We start from the raw sequence: 22,531 nt of genomic DNA, 5'->3' as shown, positions 1-22,531 counted from the left end.
CAAGGATGTTAGCAATATCTGTACTCTCTCTTATCAAACTCACAAACCAAGGAGAATGAATTGACCTCTATTTCTACCACCACTACCTGAATTTGGGTCCTTGTTATCACACCGAGGACATTTGCAGTGCCTGTTACAGCTGTCCTGGCCTCTGGTCTCTCTCTGCTTTAGTCCTTCCTGCACACCACCCTGTTACACAAAGGTTACCCCAAAACATCTTTGTGAACATGTCATTCAGCTGCTCAAAAATAAGCCTCCCCATTCCCTATAAAGAACAAAATCTACACTCTTCATTTGATAATTAAGGCCTGAAAAATCCTTGCCAAAGCTACTGTTTCTGTCCTTACCTACTGCTACTAAAACTCACTGCTCCAGAGGCACTGGCCTTGACCTTAGAGGCACCGGCCTTGACTTTTCCCATCTCAGGTCTTGGTTGGGTTATCCTCTTCACTCCAATGAAGACAGCACATCTGTCCTTTAAAATCTAGCTCATGTCCTTTCTCTGTGAAACCCTCCAAGGACCCTCAACTTCACAGTCTGTCTTATTCATGAACTTGGCACTTATGGTCTGCATGAGAGTTGCATAACCATAACTCGCAATGGGAGAGGTGAATTGAATTCACCTCTCCCATTCTTTCTTGAAATCACTCTGATTAGACTTTGCCTCCACCACTGTACTTCTGTGAAGTTCATTACAGCAGTGCTAAGTGCACAAGTCTGTTCCCACATCGCATCTTACGTGGCTAACAGTGGCGCTTGATTGAGCAGTTTACTCTTTCCTACCAGAAACCCTTTCTCCACCTGGTTTCCATGTCACTGACCCTCTTGGCTTCTTCCTTTATTCCTGGTGCTCCTTCTCTATTTCTTTTGCTAGGCCCTCTGCACCTGCTCAGTCTCCAAAAGTCAGAAGGTCTCAGGGCTCGGTCCTGCGCTCTCTTTTCTTTTCTATTTATTCTTACCCTTCGGTGCTCTCATCTAGTCTCAAGGCTTAAAAACCTTGAGACTAGAAACCACCTATGGCTAAACTTTCAAATTTGTAGATCTACTTTCAGTTTCTTTCCTGAAGCCCAGATTAGATATTTGTCTATTCATTAGCTCCACTTTGATGCTGAATGACTATTTCAAGCTAAAAATGCCCCAAACCAAAATGTCGTAGTCATCCTTGGCTCCTCTTCCACTCACTCCCCGCATACATTGAAATCCTACTGATGCGACTCATATGGCATAGTCAGAACCTGCCCACTTCTCCCCACCTCCACGGCTACCACCCTGTCCAAGTCACTGTCATCTCTCGCCCGGATTCTTAAAAAAGTCTCCAAGTTGGTCTCTCTGCTTTCACTATTGACCTCCATGCCCCACAGTCTATGTTCAACCCAGCACCAGAGAAATCCCATTCAAAGGTAAGTCAGATCCTGTCGCTCCCTGCTCCAAACCTTCCAAGGTTTCATCTCACTCAATACAATCTTGCACTCATCTGCGAGACCCTTTGTGTCTGGCCGTGGCTGCCTCTCTGCCCCACCTCTTACCTCCTCCATGCTCACTGAGTTACCTCCACACAGCTCCTCCTGAACATGCACCTTGAACACTGCTCTACCTTGAACACGCACAGCACGTTCCCACTCCAGGGCCTTGGCGCTGGCTATACCCAGAGGTTCTGCCTGTTCCCCATGAGAACTGCAATTCTGGGTCTCTTCATTAAATCTCATCTTGTTGGTAAGGTGCTCCCTGACCATTCTACATAATACAAAACAACCTGCCTGCCCCACTTCTCCCCAGCCTCTCTGTCTTGCTATGCCTTTCTCCAGAGCCGGATCCCCATCTTGGTGGCTACCTAGTTACTGTTTACCTGTTAGCTGCCTGGCTTCTCCCTACTACAACGTAAGCTCCGTGTGCACTGCTATTTGGTTCACTGCTGTGTCCCCAGTGCCTAGAACAGTGCTTGGCACATAAAAGGCATTAAATGACTCTTCGTGAAATAAATAAGGTCAAGTTTCATCATTTATATCATTAAAAGCATATTACTGGGGAAACTGGTATGAAATTTGTGAAACATAGGTGAATATACACTAGATAAAATAATTCCAGTGGAAAACCATATATTTTTTCTTATTCTCATTTAAAGCACTTAAGACTTGCTTTTTCCATATACACAGCAAGTGTGTATATGGAAAACTATAAAGAGAACCCAACTGAAGGCTCTGAAAAATGGTTCCACCCCCTTACCTTGCAGAACATCCTATCCTTTTTAGGAGATAAATGGACATTTTTAGAAATGCTCAATTGGGGCTAGTCTGCACAACGCCTAAACAAAAGGCCAACATGTGCAGAGCTCACTTAAACTCTTTGGGTTTAACAACTGCCCTATCTTACAACTGCATAGTACAGATGCACTTGTGAATTGGCATGGTTCCCAGCTCCCTGTATTGAATACAACAAGGTTCTCTAATATAATGCTGCGAGAAAACATGAGAATCGAGGTAAGACAGAAAAGCTCCTGACTCGCTGAGGACCTCAATGAGATCTTAGAGTGAGCCTTCACTTGGGTCTGTGTGGTCTATACCACCGGGAAATCTGTGTGTCTAGGGGTCAGTCCCCAGGGAGAGGGCTCAGGTCTTACATTTCTGGGATTAGACGCAGGGGAAAGAGGAATTGTTTGGCAGGAGATGCAGGCATGGAAACTAGGAGAAGGGCTAGGTGAGGCTCTGGGCAGCTGAGAAGGACTTAGGTTTGAAACTATGAGAGGGATAATGCAGCAGACACAAAGAGTGGGGCGTGGGGAAAGATGTAGGCATGGGGATTCACAACAGCCAGCTGGGGTACACTCAGTGGTTGCGTTAAGTGTGGAAAGAGATGGGCAGTTCAGCTGAGGGCTTGGGAGAAGGCTGCGTGGATGGTATGGGTACTGGCTGGAACTGATGAAGTAAAAAAAGAATGAACCAGAACTATATTCTTTAAATGCAGGTCTTCCACTTTGGTTCTAATATATTTTCACAGTGTAATGGCTTTTAAGCATCTTCCCTTCTGGGTCCCATCTTGGACCATCTTCTCTAGGCTAGTCCAACACTGCACTAAAACTGTGCTAGTCTAATAGGGCAGGTGTCATTAACAGGTTGGTTATACTAAAGTTTAGAGAATGCAAATGAGAAGAAAAGAACCCGAGGAATTCTGGCATGGAACCAAAATCTGCCCCTCATCGGGATGGTCATAGTTTTCCAAGTTACCCATAGGGTCTTTGGGTGGAGGCGCTAACTGGGCCTGACACGCTACTTGGGCCGTGTGAACGAATGAAAGAAGGGGCAGGTCGAGCTCTGCTTCGATTTCATCTTAAATCAACATTACAGCTTGACAAATGGAAGGATGGTGGCTTAGATACCTGGACACATTGGGCAGCAACTTCCTTCCACGTTGATGGGCTCAACACAGGGCAGAGGGGGGCAGCTGACGGTCGAGCAGAGGGTCTGGCCCTGCAGGCAGTAGCAGTGGGTGCAGCTGTCAAGGTCCCACCGCTCCTCGTCGGCATAGGCCTTCCCACTGAAGTGGCACACCACCTTCTTTGGAATTGTGTCTTCTAGTGAAAAGAACAGCACATGATGGAGTCGCTGATGTGACAACGCACACGATCTTATTAGACGTGAGAGATCAAGGGATAGCTTTGTATAATCACAGTATGCTTTAGGACTTCTGGAACTTGGTGAAACTTTTGTTTCCCTAGTCTTTCATTTCCTTAGGAGGACCCTCAGGGCTCTCATCTTGTGGCCACTGAGGCTAGCACAGGGTGGTCACTACCACAACCGGCAGGGAATGGTACCTGTTAGATAAGTGTCCTTAGACTGTCATCTAGAAAGAGATAAAGAGATTGATAAAAAGTCCAGCTGAGTTTATTTACAGAGATGGATTCAAGAAGTTCCTGTTTTGTAAACAATACAGGGGAATGGTAAGGAGTGATAATGGCAACATCACAAGGAACTAGCAGGTTTCCTCTGCAACCCTTGAGTGGGAGTCAGCACCGAGATAACCACTTCCTTCATTTTCCAGGGATGCTGCGTAGATTTCTCTCACCTACAAGGACATTTCTACTTTAAAAACAGCTTCATTTCATGGCAATCCATTTTTTTCCCCCAGAAAACTGGTTTTTGAGAAAAAAAGAGCTATTTGTCTGTACAGTATATACAGGGATTTCAGTTTAAACATTCTGCTCCTTCTTCCCATGGTCCCTTGTCACACTCATTTCCTCCCTCTTCCAAGCTTCTCCTTGAAGGTTCCTTTCTCTGGGACTCAACGCCTTTTCCTGGTGTACCTGAACTTACTGACTCCCTAGTGGCCACATTTCACACACAGAAATTTCCCTCTAGCACACAAGAATGTGGTTCAGAGTGAGGCCCCAAGGACCAGCAGATCCAGCAGCAAAGCAGAGATGGGCAAATCGAAACCCGGTGGCGGGGGTGTGAGCACGAGACTGATAACTGGATGACACCTACTAATCCGGGGACATTTTGTGTTCAGATTCTACAAGCAGCGCCACTCACTACTTGTCACTTAAACATGAAAAACTACAAAGGCATCTAGAAGGAAAGTTCCTTAGGAAGGCAGTCGTCCCCAGGGCCCAGGGTTCTTCCTGGAAAGCATCTGGGAAGCTCTTGAAGGGTCAGAATTCATTGAATAGACACAAGAAACAGAACCCAGCACATCTCAGGGCACGACGAGAAGCCCATAATGGCATCAGGAGCCATTTTCTCTGAGCAGCCCGAAGCTTTGCAGCGAGTGCTCTGAGGCAGCTGGAAGTGCCTCTCTATGAAGACCCAGTTTGTGCTTCAGACTGAGCTTTTCCAGAGGAAGGTCACAGACAGAAATGCTCACCGATCTGTGGTCTCTACATTTTCTTCTTACCAATTACAATTGTCCCTTGGGAGACTGGTTCTAGGACCCCATGGATACCAAAATCCAAAGACGCTCATGTGCCAAGTCCCTAATATAAAACAGCGTAGTATTTGTATATACCTACTCACATCCCCCTGTATACTTTAGGCCATCTCTAGATTACTTGCAATACCTAACACGATGTAAATGCTATGTAAATAGTTGTTATACTATATTTTGAAATTTGTATGTTTTTAAAAATATTTTCAATCTGTGGTTATGGATAAGGAGGGCAGACAATACTCAAGCATATGCACCTTTATAAATGGCACTAATAATGGCCTAATATTGTAAAATTTTTACTCCACAGATACAAATCTCAATCCATTGGGAGGGTGTTAGAAACAAGTCCAAGGAAGAAACTGAGATCGAGTGTTAAATGCATCATCTCTTATGTTGTCAACAACTTCTATCATTTTTCTCATTACTGCTGTCTAAGGTTCAACAAGGGGCATTAAGTAATCATGGAAAGTTCTAGTTGTAATCAGAAATCAATTTTTCAGTATCTATTAAAAAATGCACTTCCCTATGTTTGTAGATGCTCCACAGAAATTTTCTGGCACACTAGTTATTAGGCTAAAAACTCATTTGGAGGCTTTCAAAAGAAACTCATGATAGAAGTTCTTGATTAATATGGAATCCTTAAAAGAGGCGACTTCACTAAGGTATCCAAAATGCACGTGTCAAATTGGCTGAACAGAATCATCCAATGATGCCTAATTTAAGTAGTACTCTGAACTTCCTTTCCCCTCTCTCCTTCCCCCTCCCTCACCTTCCTTCCTTCTCCCTCCATCCTTCCTTCCCTCCTTTTTACCCTCCCTCCCTCCCTCCTGTCCTCCTTCCTTCCCCCTCTCTCCTTCCTTCCCCTTCCCTCCCTCCCTCCCTCCCTCCTTCCCTCTCTCCTTCATTCCTTCTTTCCTTCCTCTCTCCATACACATGAGAATAATGATGGGAAGAACTTAGACTGAGCCTGGACACTGCATTGAGGACATTAGTTTTGGCCATCAAATTTAGAGTCTATTTTGCTGAGAATTCTTTATGAAAAGAAGCAATGTTTGATAGAGCAGTATCACTGATTATATTTTACATGAACCTTGGCCCATACAATGCAATATCACTGAATAAAATTTGAGTAACAGTGTTACCGTACAAAGAAACCAGACAGGAGGTAAAACTCCTCATTCCATCTTGTCCATAACTCTTCTGACTCAAGGCCAAGCAGTGGTCTATACTGTCTATATTCTTTTTTTTTTCTTTCCTTCCTTCCTTCCATCTTCCTTTTCCTTCTTCCTGTCTTCCTTTTCCTTCTTCCTGTCTTCCTTTTCCTTCCTGTATTTCCTTCCTTCCTTCCCTTCCTTTCCCTTCCTGTCTGTATTTTCCTTCCTTCCTTCCTGTCCCTCCCTCCCTCTTCCTGTCTCTCCCTTCCTTCCTCCCTTCCTTCCTGTCCCTCCCTCTCTCCCTTCCTTCCTCTCCCTCCCTTCCCTATCCCTCTCTCCCTCCCTGTCCTTCCCTTCCTTCCTGCCTATATTTTCCTTCCTGTCCCTCCCCTCCCTCTCTCCCTCCCTTCCTGTCCCCTTCCTTCCTGTCTGTATTTTTCCCTTCCTTCCTTCCCCCTCCCTCCCTTCCTTCCCCTTCCCTCCCTCTTTCCTTCCCTCCTCCTCCCTCCCTCCTTTTCTCCTTCTTTCCTTCCCCCTCCCTCCTTCCTTTCTCATCCCTCCTTCCTGTCCCCTCCATCCTTTCTTTCCTCCTTCCCCCTCCCTCCTTCCCCACCCTCCTTCCTTCCTTATCTTTCCCATCCTTTTCTCCCTCCTTCCTTCCCACTCCCTCCTTCCTTCCTTCCTTCTTCCCCCTTCCTGCCCTCTCCCTCATTCTTCCCTCCTTTCCCCTCCTTCCCTCCCTCCTTCCTTCCTTTCCCCTCTCTCCTTCCCACTCCCTCACCTTCCTTCCTTCTCCCTCTGTCCTTCCTTCTCTCCTTTTCACCCTCCCTCCCTCCTTTCCTTCCTTCCTTCCTTCCCCCTCTCTCCTTCCTTCCCTTTCCCTCCCACCCTCTTTCCTTCCCTCTCTCCTTCATTCCTTCTTTCCTTCCCTTCCTCTCTCCACACACGAGAATAATGATGGGAAGAACTTAGACTGAGCGTGGACCTAAAGCACCTGGCTATGATGTGTGGTGTTTTCTGAATGATACTGACCTATGTAGAATAATTTCAACTGATGTATCAAAACCACAGAAGAAATATCAAAGATCAAATGCTGAGCTACAGCATACAGGGTTTATGTAAATACTCTTTCAGTAACTGTATGAGATCACTGTCTAAAAGAATATTTATAAAATGATATTATGAGAAAGAACAACCACTCTGAATGCCTTGGAGGCAATGGGAAAACCAATAACTTTTTTCTTTTTCTCAAGAGACAGGGTCTCACTCTGTTGCCCAGGCTGGAGTGTAGTGGTGCAATCATAGCTCTTTGAACTTCTGGGCTCAAGTGATCCTCCTACTTTAACCTCCTGAGTAGTTAGGACTACTAGTATGCACCATTATGCCTGGATAATTTTTAGGGTTTTTTTTTTTTTTTTTTGTGGAGATGGGGTCTCATTGTGTTGGCCAGGCTGGTCTTGAACTCCTGGCCTCAAGCTAGCTACCTGCCTTAGTCTCCCAAAATGCTGGAATTATAGGCATGAGCCACCAACACCTTGCTCAGTATCCTCATTTCTTTTCCTAGATACACTGTCTCCTTCAATGACACATAGGGACCCATTTGCGAAAACGCCATCAGGAAGTTTTGGAAGCTACCAGGTTTAAAGGGAGATGTGGTAGCTATTCCATGCAATTCGAGGTTCTATAAATTAAAATAATAGTCACTGTAGTCTTTTGGGGGAAACAGCATAATCTAATTGAGACTACATATAAATGTATTTTAAGCACTCAGCCTGAAGAGGGATGTAGAAATAAAGACTGGGAATATCCAACGAAAAATAACCAAAACAGTTTATGTGTGGCTATCAGGGTTGTGCCATTTAACTCTAAAGGCTACGTTTATTATTCCAACTGGTTTGCTTATTCTGACAATTAAGTTTTGTTCTTTGATACCTAATAATAATCGTAACTTCCACTTACTGAATGCCCACTACATACCAGGCCCTGTGTTAAGCATGTTACCTGCATCAATGCCATTTGATCTCCATTGCCCAATGGGTCAGGGTATTGTTTCAATTCTACAGAAAAATGAGGCACAAGATTCAATCAGTTGTCCAAGATGCACAGCTAGGAAGTGGCAGGGTGAGGAGGGGAACCACAGCGGGTCTGGTTCCACAGTCCGCCAGCACCTCTGTCTGTTGTGTGCCAAGCCGGATAACCTGTGGAGGGACCACTTGCCCGGACAAGGATCAATCAGTGCCACACAAACAAGCTGTTACTTCTCACTGACTCTTGAAAATGGGGACTCGAATTTATCTTTGTCTTCAAAGATAAATTGTCCTTTACCTGACTGCATCATACCTCACACAGTGCTATCAAGGAGTGGAGATAACCAAGTGGGTTATTTAGGTAATTTAGGATTCCTGGTCCTCCTTAGGAACATCTCTGTTTAACACTTCTCTCTCCCCTCACAATCTCTCCCTCCCACTCTCTCAAAGAGGATTAGAGGAGAATGTTCCAAGGAAACCATGAGGTATGACACTAACATAATAACGTTTATTTTTAAAACAAACCAATCAGGGGTTATATATCCAAATAAACATGATCCCCTTCTAAGTAGTCCTGGTAGGCTGTAAACTCTTCCAATGGTACTGCCGCTGCTGCACAGCTTTGGAATTTTCCTCTTGCGATGGCGTCCAGGGCCAATTTTGAAACGTGCAAAGAAGATGGTTACTATTTCACAGTTACACCTTGGTTTAGATCGGCTTCGCTACTTATTTTTCTCAGCTATGGCCCCTATCTTATCCGTCAGATTCAGTTTGAAATGACTTTTGGCCTCTTTCAGAAACAAAGTCTCTGCAAGAATACAAAGATTTACTTCTGCCATCACCGTCAACTACGTCAGGGACCTGGAGCCCTTTGCTGGATGCAGCTGGTCCTTCCATGGGGCTGCTTACCTCATGGGATGCTCAGACAAACATCTTCTTTTCTTTTGGGATTCAGATATGAGCAATATTATCTTGCATCACATATGATTACAATAAAAATATACAATGTCTTTCAGCAGTAGAGTCTGGAAAATTCAGTGTGGGTTCCCTCCTGCCTATTTTCCCTCAATTCTGGTTCATATCACAAGAGGAGGAAGAAGCGGCAAGGCCTTGAAATGTTAATTCCTTTCCGGTTAACTTCTTCAACTGTTTAAACTTCATTATCTTACCTCTTTTCAAGATAAGAAAAGAAGACTTAACAGGCTGTTAAGGCTGGACTTTGTTTTTACTCCTGAGCTATTTTAATTATGCCATAAAACTAATTAACAGCTAGGGAAAATCTAGAACTGTGTTATTTTCTTCCTCTACAAAGATCCAATTTAGTATTCCAGGAGTCACTGAGATGGTGGCACAGCCCTGCTCTGAAACTGACCATGATGTAGGATATACATGAGCCTCTGGAAAAAAAAAAAAACAAAAAACCAAAAACCAAAAACGCATCTCCAGATTCTTCCTCCTCTTTCCTCTGTGGAAGGATATAAAAACCAAAATGGACTCTAACCTATGTTATAGTTGGATTTCTTGATTTCTGCCTAGGAGGCAACTTCTTACATAGATACTTCAATTTCTAAATCTGGTGGTCATGAAGTCAGAGGCTTGGTGTGGGAGTAACCTCCTGGGAGGAAGTCAGGCTGCTTTAGAAATTGCATCAGTTCTTTCAAATCTCCTGCGTACTATTTAGAGTCCTGAAAAGTAATTTACTCTGGGATCCTGGTGGCCAAGAAGCTAAATGCAGCTCTTAATCTCAGAATAAGTCTCACTGCAAAACAAGCCAACACAGTACTATAACGGGGGCATTTGTTCTTCCCACACATTGAGATCAAGGCCCCCCGAGTGTCATCCTAAGTGTTGGGGATGCAGACGTGAACAAGGCATTCAAGGCCTTGGTCCTCAGGAGACGCTCCTGCACCCAGAGGGTCTCGTCAGCTTTGTGGGAGTCCATATCCAAATGGATGAGCCCAGTGTCTGGAAAAGACGCGCAGACAGCTGGTCCTGCTAATAACATGATATTACAGTTTGGGTTCTTAAGTTTGAGGTTTGAGGGATTTACAGAAAACTTCAGTGAAGTCATTTAGGCAGGCATACAAAGGGCCCATGTATACTATGGGTAACATGAGATTTAGAAAGGGGAGCGGTAGAAAAGGCAGCCAAGTATTACCAATGACATAGCTGACCTGGGCAAGAATAGGGGAAGTACTTCTAAAAATGTTAGTTTATACCTGTAACAATGCATTACAGCACTCTCTAAGCCACAAAGGAATAAAATACCACTTTCATTTCACTTTCTAACAAGACACTGAAATCCCTGGCTTGTCATGTGCTTTTCATTCTGTATTGTCGGTCACATGCTGGGCACAAACTCCACACTTGGAGAATAAATAGAATGTGAGCACCTCCTGTTTGAGAAACTGGCTTCACTTGTTTTTTTAAAAAACATAAAGAAGAGACTTAAACACATGGAAATTGTAATGATGCAGGGATCTGAGAAAATAATGTACGGGCCACTAAGAACTCATAGACAGAAGATGATGACTGATTTTCAATGCGCTGACTCACCAGGCCTTTACAGACTGTAAAAGAATGAAAAGATGGAACTCAACTGAAGTCTTGCTCAAAACAGATGCAGGGGGCCTAGACAATTTCAATGAGGCAGAGATCTAATACACAGTCATTCTGTCAGGAAATGATTAAAGAATTCTGGTTAAAAATGCAACAAATGCTTACTGATTTAATTAAATCTTTGGGTATTTTACTTTATAACTTTTAGCTTCCAATAAAAAAAAATCTGATCTTAATCCATCTTTCTTTTAAAAAAATGAGGTACATGCTGTCATGTCGGCTGACTCCTACCTCTCCATACTGCCTCAATCTTAATTGCTGTGAAAGCAGATTTGGCCACAGTTTAAGGCTTTTCTTAGAATTCCATTTTTGTTTTATTTTATTTCATTTATTTCTTAGGGTAGGAAGTGCAAGTAATTTATAAAGGTTAAAAGAGCCTATCAGATTTCTTCAACATACTAGAAAGAAATAGGTGATTGCTCAGGCTTCCAAGTCCTAGTTCTACAAAAAGAAATCTCACCAAACTAGTAAACACAGTCACTTTTGGCTGAGAACCACTGCATGCAGAGGACACAATTTCTCAGTAATAGAGCTTACTCCTTGTGTTAAGCATTTGTTATGGGTTGATTAAGCACTTCATGGATAGTTGTTGAAGGAAACATTTTATTTTCAACTTTAAATGTGGTCTCATGTCATAGTAGGGCCTACAATCCAAGATGCATCTACAGGTACATGGACATTATTCACATAAATCATTTTGGAAATATAAAAATGTCATTTTAAAAGGCAGGCAGAAACAACTAAAGATCAAGGTGGCCCAAATAAGGAGGAAGAAATACAACTTCTTTTAGGACTTAAAAGAAGCAATCCATGTAAAAGTCGGGGTATACCATCTTGTTAAGAAAACCTTAACGTAGAAGCCATTGGACCTTCCAGATTGGCCAGTTTCTGCACCTATAGAAGATGTTTTATCTGGTCACAGTCCAAGTCCTGTTAAGAAGACTCTGCCAGCAGTCTCCAGAGGGTTCTTATCAGGTGGGCCCTCTTGTGATGGGGTCTTCCCCCATATCCTTGACCACTAGAGGGTACAAAATCAGGTTTGGCCTCCTGGACCAAAATAAGAGAAAGGCAGATACTGTTGGATCTCTCTGGAAATAGCAGTGCAGCAGCCTAACTTCCGTGCAGCAGAGCTCTTTAAATTAAGAACGTGGGGCTGGAGCGGAGCACACCTAAAGACTATGCAGCTTAGGGGTTTTTCCCAAGTTAACCAGAACAACTTGAATTTCTGTTTACACAGCCGGGGGCCTGGAAAGGATACTGAAGTGAGAAGAGAAAGCTGCTTATGGAAGCAGCAAGATCAGTTGCTTCCTAGGGCATAGGGTAAGACCCAAACAAACTGAAATCAAACACTGCTTATTTTTGTTGTGATAACTTTAGACCAGTTCCAAAGTTAGCATGGTGCACGACAACCAGAATGTTTTCATTTTTATACTCTCTAAACAATACACAGAAAATCATCCTGTTTCCCCTTCTTTCAAATCACACCTCTCATCTTTTGTTTCAATCTTTTTAGCACTAACTGTGACAACCTGGGCCTCCGTGTAGGTCCACAGTAACTGACAGCACTGAAGAATGTGCAGGAGGTATACATCTCCCTATGAGGGTGCGCCCTGATGATAAATGCCACGTACTCTGTTCCCAGGAATCACAGTGGATCATGCACAGTAAGTTCAGACTCTTCAAATGGGACTAGCCTCTCAACATAAACCAAAATAAATGAGCCCTATTTTCTCACTTCTGATAATGTCTAGAGGTATGAAAGAACAGTGTGGTTTGTGGGCAAGGCCCTGTCACAACACAGCTGAGCTACAGAAAGCACACTGTTTCTACCTGGGTTACGATGGAGTGACCAAAGTGACATGGGCTTTTTAAGATGGGAGCAGGCAGGATGAGGTACACTGCCAAAGCATTATCTAAGATATTCTCGGCCTCGAAAAGCTCATCACTGAGATGTTATATCCAGGCATTTCTCTTGTAGAAAGCCAGACGCTACATTTAACAGTGAGACACTAGAATCTATTTGATAATGTTACTCAGATCAGCTGCAATCTGTGTTACGAGAGCAGCAATTCTACTGAATCAATATACACTTAAATTGTGTTTACTGTTTATAAAGTATTTTTGCATATGTACATTATGTCATTTAATATTCTTGGCACTTTTGTGAAGCACAGGACAATATTATTATTGCCATCTTATAGATGAGGAAACTGAACTAGGGTTACATCATATCACCGAGACATAAAGCTAGAATGTGACAGAGCTGTGATTATAATGCTCTGGCTCCAAGGGAAGTTCTCTTTCCAATGTGCAGAAGCTTTTAATTTTAAGAAAATACACTGGAGAAGCAGCGGTGAAAAATGTTCCAATGAAGGTGGGCACCATCATATCATTATGGTTTCGAAATGCGTAACATTAAGTTTCATGGGTTGTATAGCTTAAAGATGCCTGAATTAAATATTTACTATAATTGATTCTTGGGCTGAATTAAATACACAATGACCAACAGATGTTCCAAAGAGATGCTATATATCTCTAAGATACCAGTTTAGTAGAGTTATGTTTAAATAAACAGAAATCTAAGCAAAAGGAATAATGTATTGACTTGATATAAGGTATAGACATTTCCCTATTAAGGTTAAGTATTATTTAATCATTTGCGAGTTGAAGATCACTATGGAGAAGATCACTATACAGTGACAGTATCACAGCCAGTTGAGAAGAAATACAGTCACAACACAAGCTAAGCCAGCTCCATGGCAAAGTCCCACTTCGAATATTAGTAAATATATAAATATAAAAATAGCTAACTTCTAATCAAACAGAGGTATTAATACAACCTGTAAGAAATTTTTAGTGTACCATCTACCTATAATAGAACTCATTTTCACAGATCCTTAAAGATATATGACACTTAAAAACACTTCAATGATACTCGCTGATTAGAAGGCATGTAATCAGAACATTTTAACTTAGTTCACATGGAAGTTATGAGCCACATATATACTTGTATTTATTTTATATAATGTATAAGTAAATATTTATATTATATATAATAAACACAAACAATCATCCACAATTTCTGAAGTGAGAAAGATACACTGACTCAAGAATTTCTAGCCAACAAATGACTTTAAAAATCTGACCTTGAAATATCTTCTAAAATAACACGTAGTTACTAACAAATACTTGCCAAGTCATAATTTTCAAAACAATGTTCTACATACTAACACTTAAGACTTAGCCAACACATGAGCTATTTATTCAACGTCAGTCCTGATCACCTAGAGTGGCTTAACTGGGGGACATACCTGAGCATCTTGACTTCCAAAGTCAACAGGTATGATGCAGCAATGAAGTGGGCTTGAAAATCCTGGAAATTAACCTAAGATAGACGTTACGATCAAAGTAGTACTTTTTCTTTTTAATATCTGACCAGGAATGACTGACCCCTGGACACAGGGAGGATCCACTGAAAGACTCACGGTCCCCCCTCCAGAAGCTGCCAGAGTCTGGCACTCAGTATGGGCAGAAGCATCACCAACACGAACATTAGAGCAAGGTTGATGTGGTCAGGGCTCATATGGGGATATGAGTATCCCCACAGGCATATGAGTGGTGTGGTATGAGGGCTGCTAATTTACTTCTCTGCTATCCTCCTTGAAGTCATGAAATAAAGACTTCACTGAAAGCACTGAAATAATTTTTGCTCTGGCAAGGTTTGAGAAAGGCATGTAGCATGTCATCAGTGAAATGGCCATGGGATGCTTTAGAAACGAGTACACTCTTGCATGGCTAAGTAGGTCATAACAGAGGCATTTGCTGTTTACAAGGAACCACATATGAAATCTCTTTTCACCCATCAGAATTCCCACCAGACCTTTTATCTCCACCTGCGTCATACTTGTCAACTTTTGATTCTTGTTCTTCATCCTTTAACCCTTCATTATAGTCAGCTTATGAAAATAAAATCTAAGTTTGAATGTATTTACTTAGAAAACCAGAGTACAAAAAAAAATTAGGGAATCAGAAGATGTTCCATTAAAGTGAATGGGTAATTACTACTTAGTTTCTTTCTAGTAGAACAATGAATTCCCTAATGATGGATATTATAAGAAACTAGACAAAGCTGTTCACTTTTCAAAATTAATCATCAATCCTATTAATTATGTCTATATTACATATCCTATTAAATTAGCACACATAATATGAGGCCCTCGAACATCAAAAGAGAAGCATTATCATTGCTCATTAGTGACTTGACAATTTGACACAAGGAACACAAATACTTGTAATCAGAAAACTATTTTTGGTAGAATCACCACTTTTCATTTTTCTTACAGTAGGAAAAAAGGATACTTCACATGCATACTTTTTTTTTGACCACTAATAAAAGAGGTCCCTTAATTGTGAGTTTGAGGTTTTTAGAGATCTGTATTTGACTAATTAGGGAGAACATTCATCCATGGAAGAGCCCTACAGCCAAGGTGAGGTCAGCACTGTGGGCTGGGGTGAGATAGTCTGTACATTCTAACAGTGAGATACACAAGATCCTGAGAATAGATGATAATCTGAGTTAAAACTGAGAAAGCCTAAACCAGGAAACAATGCGAGCACTGGTCTTTGGTGCCCACTGGAAAAACAATTGGGTGCTTTAAGACATGCCGCCTGATGGTGTGTTTCCATGTTTTTCCTTTGCTCAGTGACCTCTGGATGGTGATAAAGGCTCTGCCAATGAAGCACAGCTGGCAACTGCCTTTGGGTGTGCTTGTGCTGGCCAGGCTTGGCACCCTTATATAGGGACCAAGCTGACTGGAAGTCAGGACTTCTTAGTTGATAAGAGAACAAGCCCAAACGCAAACCGGAGAGTCAGACAGGAAATCCCTATATCATAGTCATGAACTTGACTTCGTATGTTTAGATATAGCAGGGCTAGATAAGAAAGGATGAAGGCCTATCTAACAACGCTACTTGCAAAGTAAATATGATGCAGACAGAAGAGGGCTTAATGACTATTTCAATAATACAACACATATAAATTATTAAGATGAACGAGTGAATAAGGTACACGGTTACAGTTCATCAAATGTTAAGTCTTCCCAACATGGTCCCCTGAAGCTAAGTCATGGGTTTATATGATAAAATTATACGTGCATCAGTTTGGGAGGGGGAGGGAAGTTGTGGAGGGAGACAGATCAGAATCAAAATGTCCACTATACCATTACGAGCTCATATGAACCACAATTTAGCAAAAGTGCTGCAGTCCAACTTAAAATCAAAATCACAAATTTGAGCCAAACTGGTCCTTTTTTTCTACACCAATGAAGAATGTATAATCTAGATGCAGGAATTGGAATAGAAAGTATGAAGGCAAAAAAATAAAAAATAAAAAGAAAGACTACAGAATACTACGATTTGCAGGTTTCTCTTCATAATTTTGAATTTGTTAAATTGGTTTTGTGAGAGATGATTATCTACTATCACATGAAAACAAATTTACTAGTCGAATAATTTACTAATTACAAATTTAACAATTAAGTAGCAAAACAACAATAAATTTACACAAAACAATCTGAGAATTTTCAACACACGAGAGATCTGCTGTTAGATTTTTCCTCTGAAGGTAACATGCAATTCTCAGACCTCCTGGGCCCTGGTTTCCCAAGTATGACATAAGTATCCCTGGTTGACTTGTGAACTATTTCCTTTAGTATTAAAGCTTTACTGCACTTGTACCTCTGAACTTAAAAAGTTAAAAAAAAAAGTTTTGATATATAACTATGGGGATATTGGCTATACTTTCCCCTTACCCAGCCTGAAAGAATAGCTTAGTTATAGCTTTCATTTAGATCTCACCAAAGGCAGTGTCATTTTGTTGCGTGAATTTTGGTCAGCTCTTTGAAAAGGTAAGTAGCACTAAATTGGATATATGCCTTGATACATTTTTCGCTCCACTTAGGAGCTAGAAAGCTTAGGGGTAGAGTACAGAGAAGCCGGTGCTAAAATGCAGGGCTACCACATATCCAGTTTGCTTGGGACACTCCTGATCTATGTATGACTATTGTCCCATCAGAATTATTAACAGCCCCCTTTTCACTCTCAAAAGCATCGTGGTTTGAAGAATAAATTATATGGATGGTAACCCTATTAAAAGAGAGAATCTAGCTTTTAAAACAGAACTTTTATTACTCTTTGGCCATCTAGCTTTTAAAACAGAACTTTTATTACTCTTTGACCATTACAGTAAGAAAATCTGTGTAAAATTCCTAAGAACAGGCATTTCCATCTCATATACCAACACGCAGAGTAAAAGACTCAGAGTGGCCCTGTCTAGTGGCCAGAAGTCACAAGACAAGGACAGGGAGATGTCCTCATGAGCTTGAGTTATGGCCACCATTCCTCAGCTTATCTATCAGAAATGCCACAAAACTGTGTAGCCAGATCTCCTTTATTCCCCATCTATCACTCCAGATATATGCAATGACTTGTGTTTAGAAAACATGGAAAATCCCCAACAATAAATGTGCAATTAGTACAGACTGTAAACTTTTTCATCTGCTACTCTGATTATAGGTGCACTATCTGATTAAGACGTGTCATTGTCTTTCATTTGACTTTGAGCTTTACTGGACACAAAAGCGTTAAAAGAGGGTGAAAGCCCAGGGAACACGGGCTGTCCTTGATAGAACTGCCAGCTGTCTCACCTTTTGGACCTCGGAACAGCATCTGGCTTATGTCCATAGGACTAGTTTTGCTCCAGATGTTAGGTGCTAATATACATAGATCCTCTGCTCACAAAGATGCATCACCACCACGGGTCACAAGAAGGTGAGGGCTCTAGAGTTACTCAGGCCTCACTCTGTGTGCCTAGGCCACTGACAGGGACAACCACGTGGTTGAAACAGAATCCATTAAGTGCCAGAAGACAGGAACAACTGGGAGATTAAATTAATATTTCATATTTAGTTGATCTCAAGGCAGCAGCAAGCTTTATACACTAAGTGGGCTCTAATATGAGACTTGGTGTTTCTATCTGGAAAAAAACACCACTGTCCCCATCTCTACTAAAATACAAAAATTAGCTAGGCGAGGTGGCAGGCACCTGTAATTCCAGCTACTAGGGAGGCTGAGGCAGGAGAATTACTTGAACCCAGGAGGCGGAGGTTGCAGCAAGCTGAGATTGCACCACTGCACTCCAGCCTGGGTGACAGAGTGAGAATCTGTCTAAAAAAAGAAAAAAAAAACCACTGTAAAAAATAGGCTGGAGAAACAGAGTTCTGAAATTGAAAACCCTGAACTGGCCAAGGACCCCGATAGAACACGACAGTGCTGTAACAGTATGACATTCTCAGAGAACATTTCTTTCTCCTTCTTCTTCTTCTTCTTTTTTTTTTTTTTGAGATGGAGTCTTGCTCTGTCACCCAGGCTGGAGTGCAGTGGCACAATCTTGGCTCACTGTAACCTCCGCCTCCCGTGTTCAAGTGATTCTCCTGCCTCAGCCTCCGGAGTAGCTGGGATTACAGGTGTGTGCCACCACACACAGCTAATTTCTGTATTTTTGGTAGAGACGGGGTTTCATCATGTTGGCCAGGCTGGTCTTGAACTCCTGACCTCAAGTGATCCGTCTGCCTCGGCCTCCCAAAGTGCTGGGATTGCAGGCGTGAGCCACCACTCCTGGCCTCATTTATTTATTCTTACAGCACCTCCTCTTGGGAGTACATCTTCCATATCTTTCTTCTGCTCAGTGTTGCTACACTGGGTCTGTGTGACATGTCAAGCAGGGAAAAAACCAGTTTCAAAAATATTAATTGATCTAGCAAATGGCTGTCAATACAGATTTAGTGACAACTGGTAGAGATGAGGGATTTTTTTTTCCTTGGTCTTACCTATGCAGTAGGGACAACACTGGCCTTTTCTCAAGACAGGTCTTTCACAGGATACAGAAGGGCAGGACTCAGAGAAACAGCTAATTACGCTATCAATGCAGATGCAGCTGGTACAAACGTCAGGCTTCCAGGACTCAGCTGCCAGGAATATATCCCCTTCATCATTTTTGCAGTAATTAGGTACGCTGTTATTGCGGGACAAGGAAGGCCGAAAAGGTTGATCTGGAAAAATGAACATATAGGTCAGCAAAGAAGATGCTGTTGGCCAGCAACTATGCAACATAGTGTGTTTCAAAGCACACCCAGTCATGATGGCTTTCGGTGCCTCCTTAAATACATGACGCAGTAACAAATCAGAAAGTATGATTCGGGAAGGGTCTTAAATTTTTAAACAAAATAACAAAGATCAAAAAAGAGATGTTACAGTTATTCTGTTAGTTGTTTATATAACATCCGCTCTTTCTTCCTTAATGAAATCCTGGTTTTCTTTGGGGAAGTCCCAGGACTTGGATTACAATGCATGTAAGTAAATGGGACAATTCTGTTCCCTGCTTTCCTAGGCTCCCTTGAAACTAGGGTGGCCCCATCATCTAGCCGTAGCTAATGGGACCTAATGGCTAACGAAGGGATTTCTGGGAAAGCTTTCACTTTCTTCAAAGAAGGGTAGATATGTTCTGCCATCATCCTTCCACATTATTCCTGCCTTGATAGGAGTGCGTTGATCACGGCTGTGACACCCCTATCAGAAGAGAAAGGCCTTGACCCCACTGAGCCACTGAATCAATGCTGATAAACATCTGCCTCCAAATGTCTTGTCATATATGTAAAATAGACCTCTATTTACTTACAAATTGTAGCTGGATTTTCTCTTACTTGTGGCCACATGCAATTTTGACCAATCAATATTCAGACAAATTCTCATTGTACCAGACTACCAAAAACCACCTAAATGCAACATTCCAATGTTCAGGAATTCACATTAATGACTGAAAGATAAGAAATCTAAATCACTCATAAGGATGCAACCACAGAGAAATCATGTGCAAATCATCTGTGTCTTTGCTATCTAAAGACTGAGACCTGGAAGTCCCCAGATCTAGTTACAACTTGCAACAGAAAATGTCACCAGAAAATCCAGATAGCACTTTGGGCATCGGTTTCCACTAAAATCAATGAAAATTGTAACTTCAAGCAGCAATATGATTGAGATATCAGAAAGGAAAATGTAAGTGGGTGCGTTTCCAGTTTAGAAATGTCATAGTCCAACTGATAAGAGAGCACTTCTAATCAACTTCACCACTCAAGAGTCTAGACACAGCCACGACAGCCCTACCTAGCAAAGCTCTAAGAGGGCCACATTTTCTCAATGCATACACAATCAAAAGAGTTGTCGTATGTTCTTCCCAGAACCAACTTCATGAGCTCTGTTATTTTTAGTCAAGAACCAGAAACAACTGAGACATGTAGTTGCCATATGATCCAGAAGCTCTACATGCCACTTTTTCCTTCTATCCACCTCATGAATATACCCCACAGCCAGTAAGCAGGATGTGACAAGAAGGGCCTTTTTGAGGACCAAGGCAGTTACTTCATTGTGGACCTTCTCTGAGGGACAGGAAAGCCAGCATAATGGGATTGGCCCATACCCTCTCCTTTAAACTGAGTAACTGTATCTCCTATGACTAGTCCCAAAGGCAGCAGGCATAAGTTGAAGAACAGCCATTGGTTCCACGGCTCCATGGTACTCTAGGTCCTATTACAGATATGATTCCACAGATCCCACCCACATAGGTTAGAGATAGTAAGATGGGATGACTTTCTCAATGACCTTTTCGTGGTTATCTACGTCGAGGGATAATTTCTTCTCTAAGAGACTGACCAGTGCTAACTTTTGCTTTGGCTAGAAATAAGGACAACACCCTCTTGTTCACACTAGGCCCTGCAAATCTCCATGAGGTTTTTGTGACTTACGTTAACTTAGCTCATGCAAGCATTGCCCAACCTCTGTCTAAAAACTGAAAAGAAGAAGAAGGGACAGCCGTGCTGAAGCTATGGAATGACAGTGAAACGAACAGCCTGGAATCTGCAGGGCTCTCACTGAGGCCTGGAAATAACCCAGAGGACATCAGGATACGCTGGCAGTGACGGTGTGAGGGCTGGAGCCGAGGTAGAGTCTGCAGGTTTCCTTCCACCAGGCAGGAGGCTCCTGGCCCAACCCTGACCGACAATGTCATTTGGAATCTTACCCACAGCATCTCCCTTCTTTGGGCCTCTTTTCTCATTTTTCCTGCTCTAGACCCTTTTCTTTACACTTCTGTTTCCAAACGTTTACTCCTTTATTTGATCTTTACCAGTGTTTTCACTGTTTTCAGTGTTTCCTTTTTTCTATTTTCTACCTCCCTCGCTCTTCTCTGCCATGCTTTTTTCCAACTCTAAAAATAAAGGAAAGAAAATTTTAAACTTATGGAAAGAAACAAGTGCTATTTTACCCTCTCCCTTTTGTATGCTGGTGAAGTAGCTTCACTTGCAGTGATGTGCAATCTTTCCTCATTTCCTCACCAGACCTTGCTTTAAACCAGGCCAGAGAAGAGGGAAAGCTGAAGAGAGGAAATGACAAGGCACCCTACAGATGGAAGCATCATGAGGGATTCGACCCTTTGGAAGCTGTTATCCCACTGTGGAGCTATGACTTTTGGGCCATTTTAGAATGCAAGTGTCCTAAGATTAGAGATGATATTTTTCTACATGTGTAATATGCCACTTATCAATGCCACTGTTGAGAATTACTGTGATGGGAAGAAACTGATAATTTGAGTTTTAAGGCTTTTTATTTTTTTGTATCTCAATACAACGATGAATGAAAAAGTCCAGAAACATCCTTTAGTTAGAGGTAAAGAAAAAAATCCAGGCCTAAGTTAATGAATGAGAAGTCAAAGCCAGGCACATGAGGGGTTGCCTGTTCTTTGGAAAGATGGAAAGGAATGCAGGACTACCACTGCCTTGCTTGGCTAGAACCCATGGGCCTCTGCACATGCCACCCATGTTAGCATACTCAGAGGTTCCCACCTCCACATAGCTCTCCTTCTCTTTATGGGTGGAACCTCTGAGTTCAGTAAGGTGTCCCATCAATGAATTTCAGCTAGTGGTCCTGGAGGCATTTCCTCCCCCAGTGCCACTCCCTTAGTTAATCCCTAAGTTCATCACTCAGATCCTAACACAAATAGCACCAGGGGTATTTGCTGCTTTAGTTTCCCGGATTGCCTATGTTCTTGAATCCTCCCTTTCAAGGCACACCTCTTACTTTATCATTATTGACTTAACGTGGAATATTGGATTGTTTGGCTTTTCGGCTATTGCTCCAGGACAGGAATCATGTCTGTTTTCATTAACCTTGGAATCCCCATAGTTCAATTCAGGCATTCTACAAATATTTGTAAACTAAATAGCTAAAAGTACATAAATTCATTATCACCAAGGAAAAGATCACTCTAAGTAGTTTCTACCAAGGTGATGTAAGTAAAGTCACTGCTATATATTAACAAAAAACATCAGTAGGGTTTGAATCTGAGTGAATTGTGATGACAACAAATTAGGAAATCATAGGTCATGCATATCCTAAAAATGTAACACATATGAACTATTTCTTATACTAGAAAAGCTGTAGTGCTAATTAAGCTTCTCAGATTAACAGTTCTGTACTAAAATGGTAATACTTGGGCTGCCGTGCATGATGACAACAGCCAGTAATGTGGCTATCCCTATAAGTTCATCTGATCAATTCCAAAAATGCCATCAACATAAACTTATAAAAAATTTAGACACTGATGATGCTGCACATAATGACGGAACAACAGATTCTGGCCAGCTGACTAGATAATCCAATGTTAAAAAAAAGAAGTAATAAAATACAAGGGTTTATGTTTTG

General features: G+C 41.9%; 1 protein-coding gene across 14 annotated transcripts in view; it reads right to left on the bottom strand.

Moving 5' to 3' along the window:
- CRIM1 (cysteine rich transmembrane BMP regulator 1) overlaps positions 1-22,531 on the bottom strand; it is a 195,358-nt gene that overhangs the window by 10,216 nt on the left and 162,611 nt on the right. For 8 of the 14 annotated variants that reach the window (XR_007076383.1, XM_011532898.4, XM_017004258.3 and 5 more), the window contains 2 exons: positions 18,607-18,828; positions 3,374-3,568 (listed from right to left, as the gene is read on the bottom strand). Coding sequence is in view for 13 of the 14 variants with exons in the window: in XM_011532898.4 (XP_011531200.1) it covers positions 3,374-3,568; positions 18,607-18,828 (417 nt within the window). In the remaining variant the exon portion in view is untranslated. The remainder of the gene's footprint in view (positions 1-3,373; positions 3,569-18,606; positions 18,829-22,531) is intronic. The other 6 variants (XM_011532899.4, XM_017004259.2, XM_047444643.1 and 3 more) reach the window with 2 other exon arrangements.

The sequence above is a fragment of the Homo sapiens genome, chromosome 2 (assembly GCF_000001405.40).
Source record: "Homo sapiens chromosome 2, GRCh38.p14 Primary Assembly".
Taxonomy (NCBI): Eukaryota; Metazoa; Chordata; class Mammalia; order Primates; family Hominidae; genus Homo; species Homo sapiens.
Note: the sequence above shows the minus strand (reverse complement) of the source record. Positions and strands in the feature narration are given on the sequence as shown.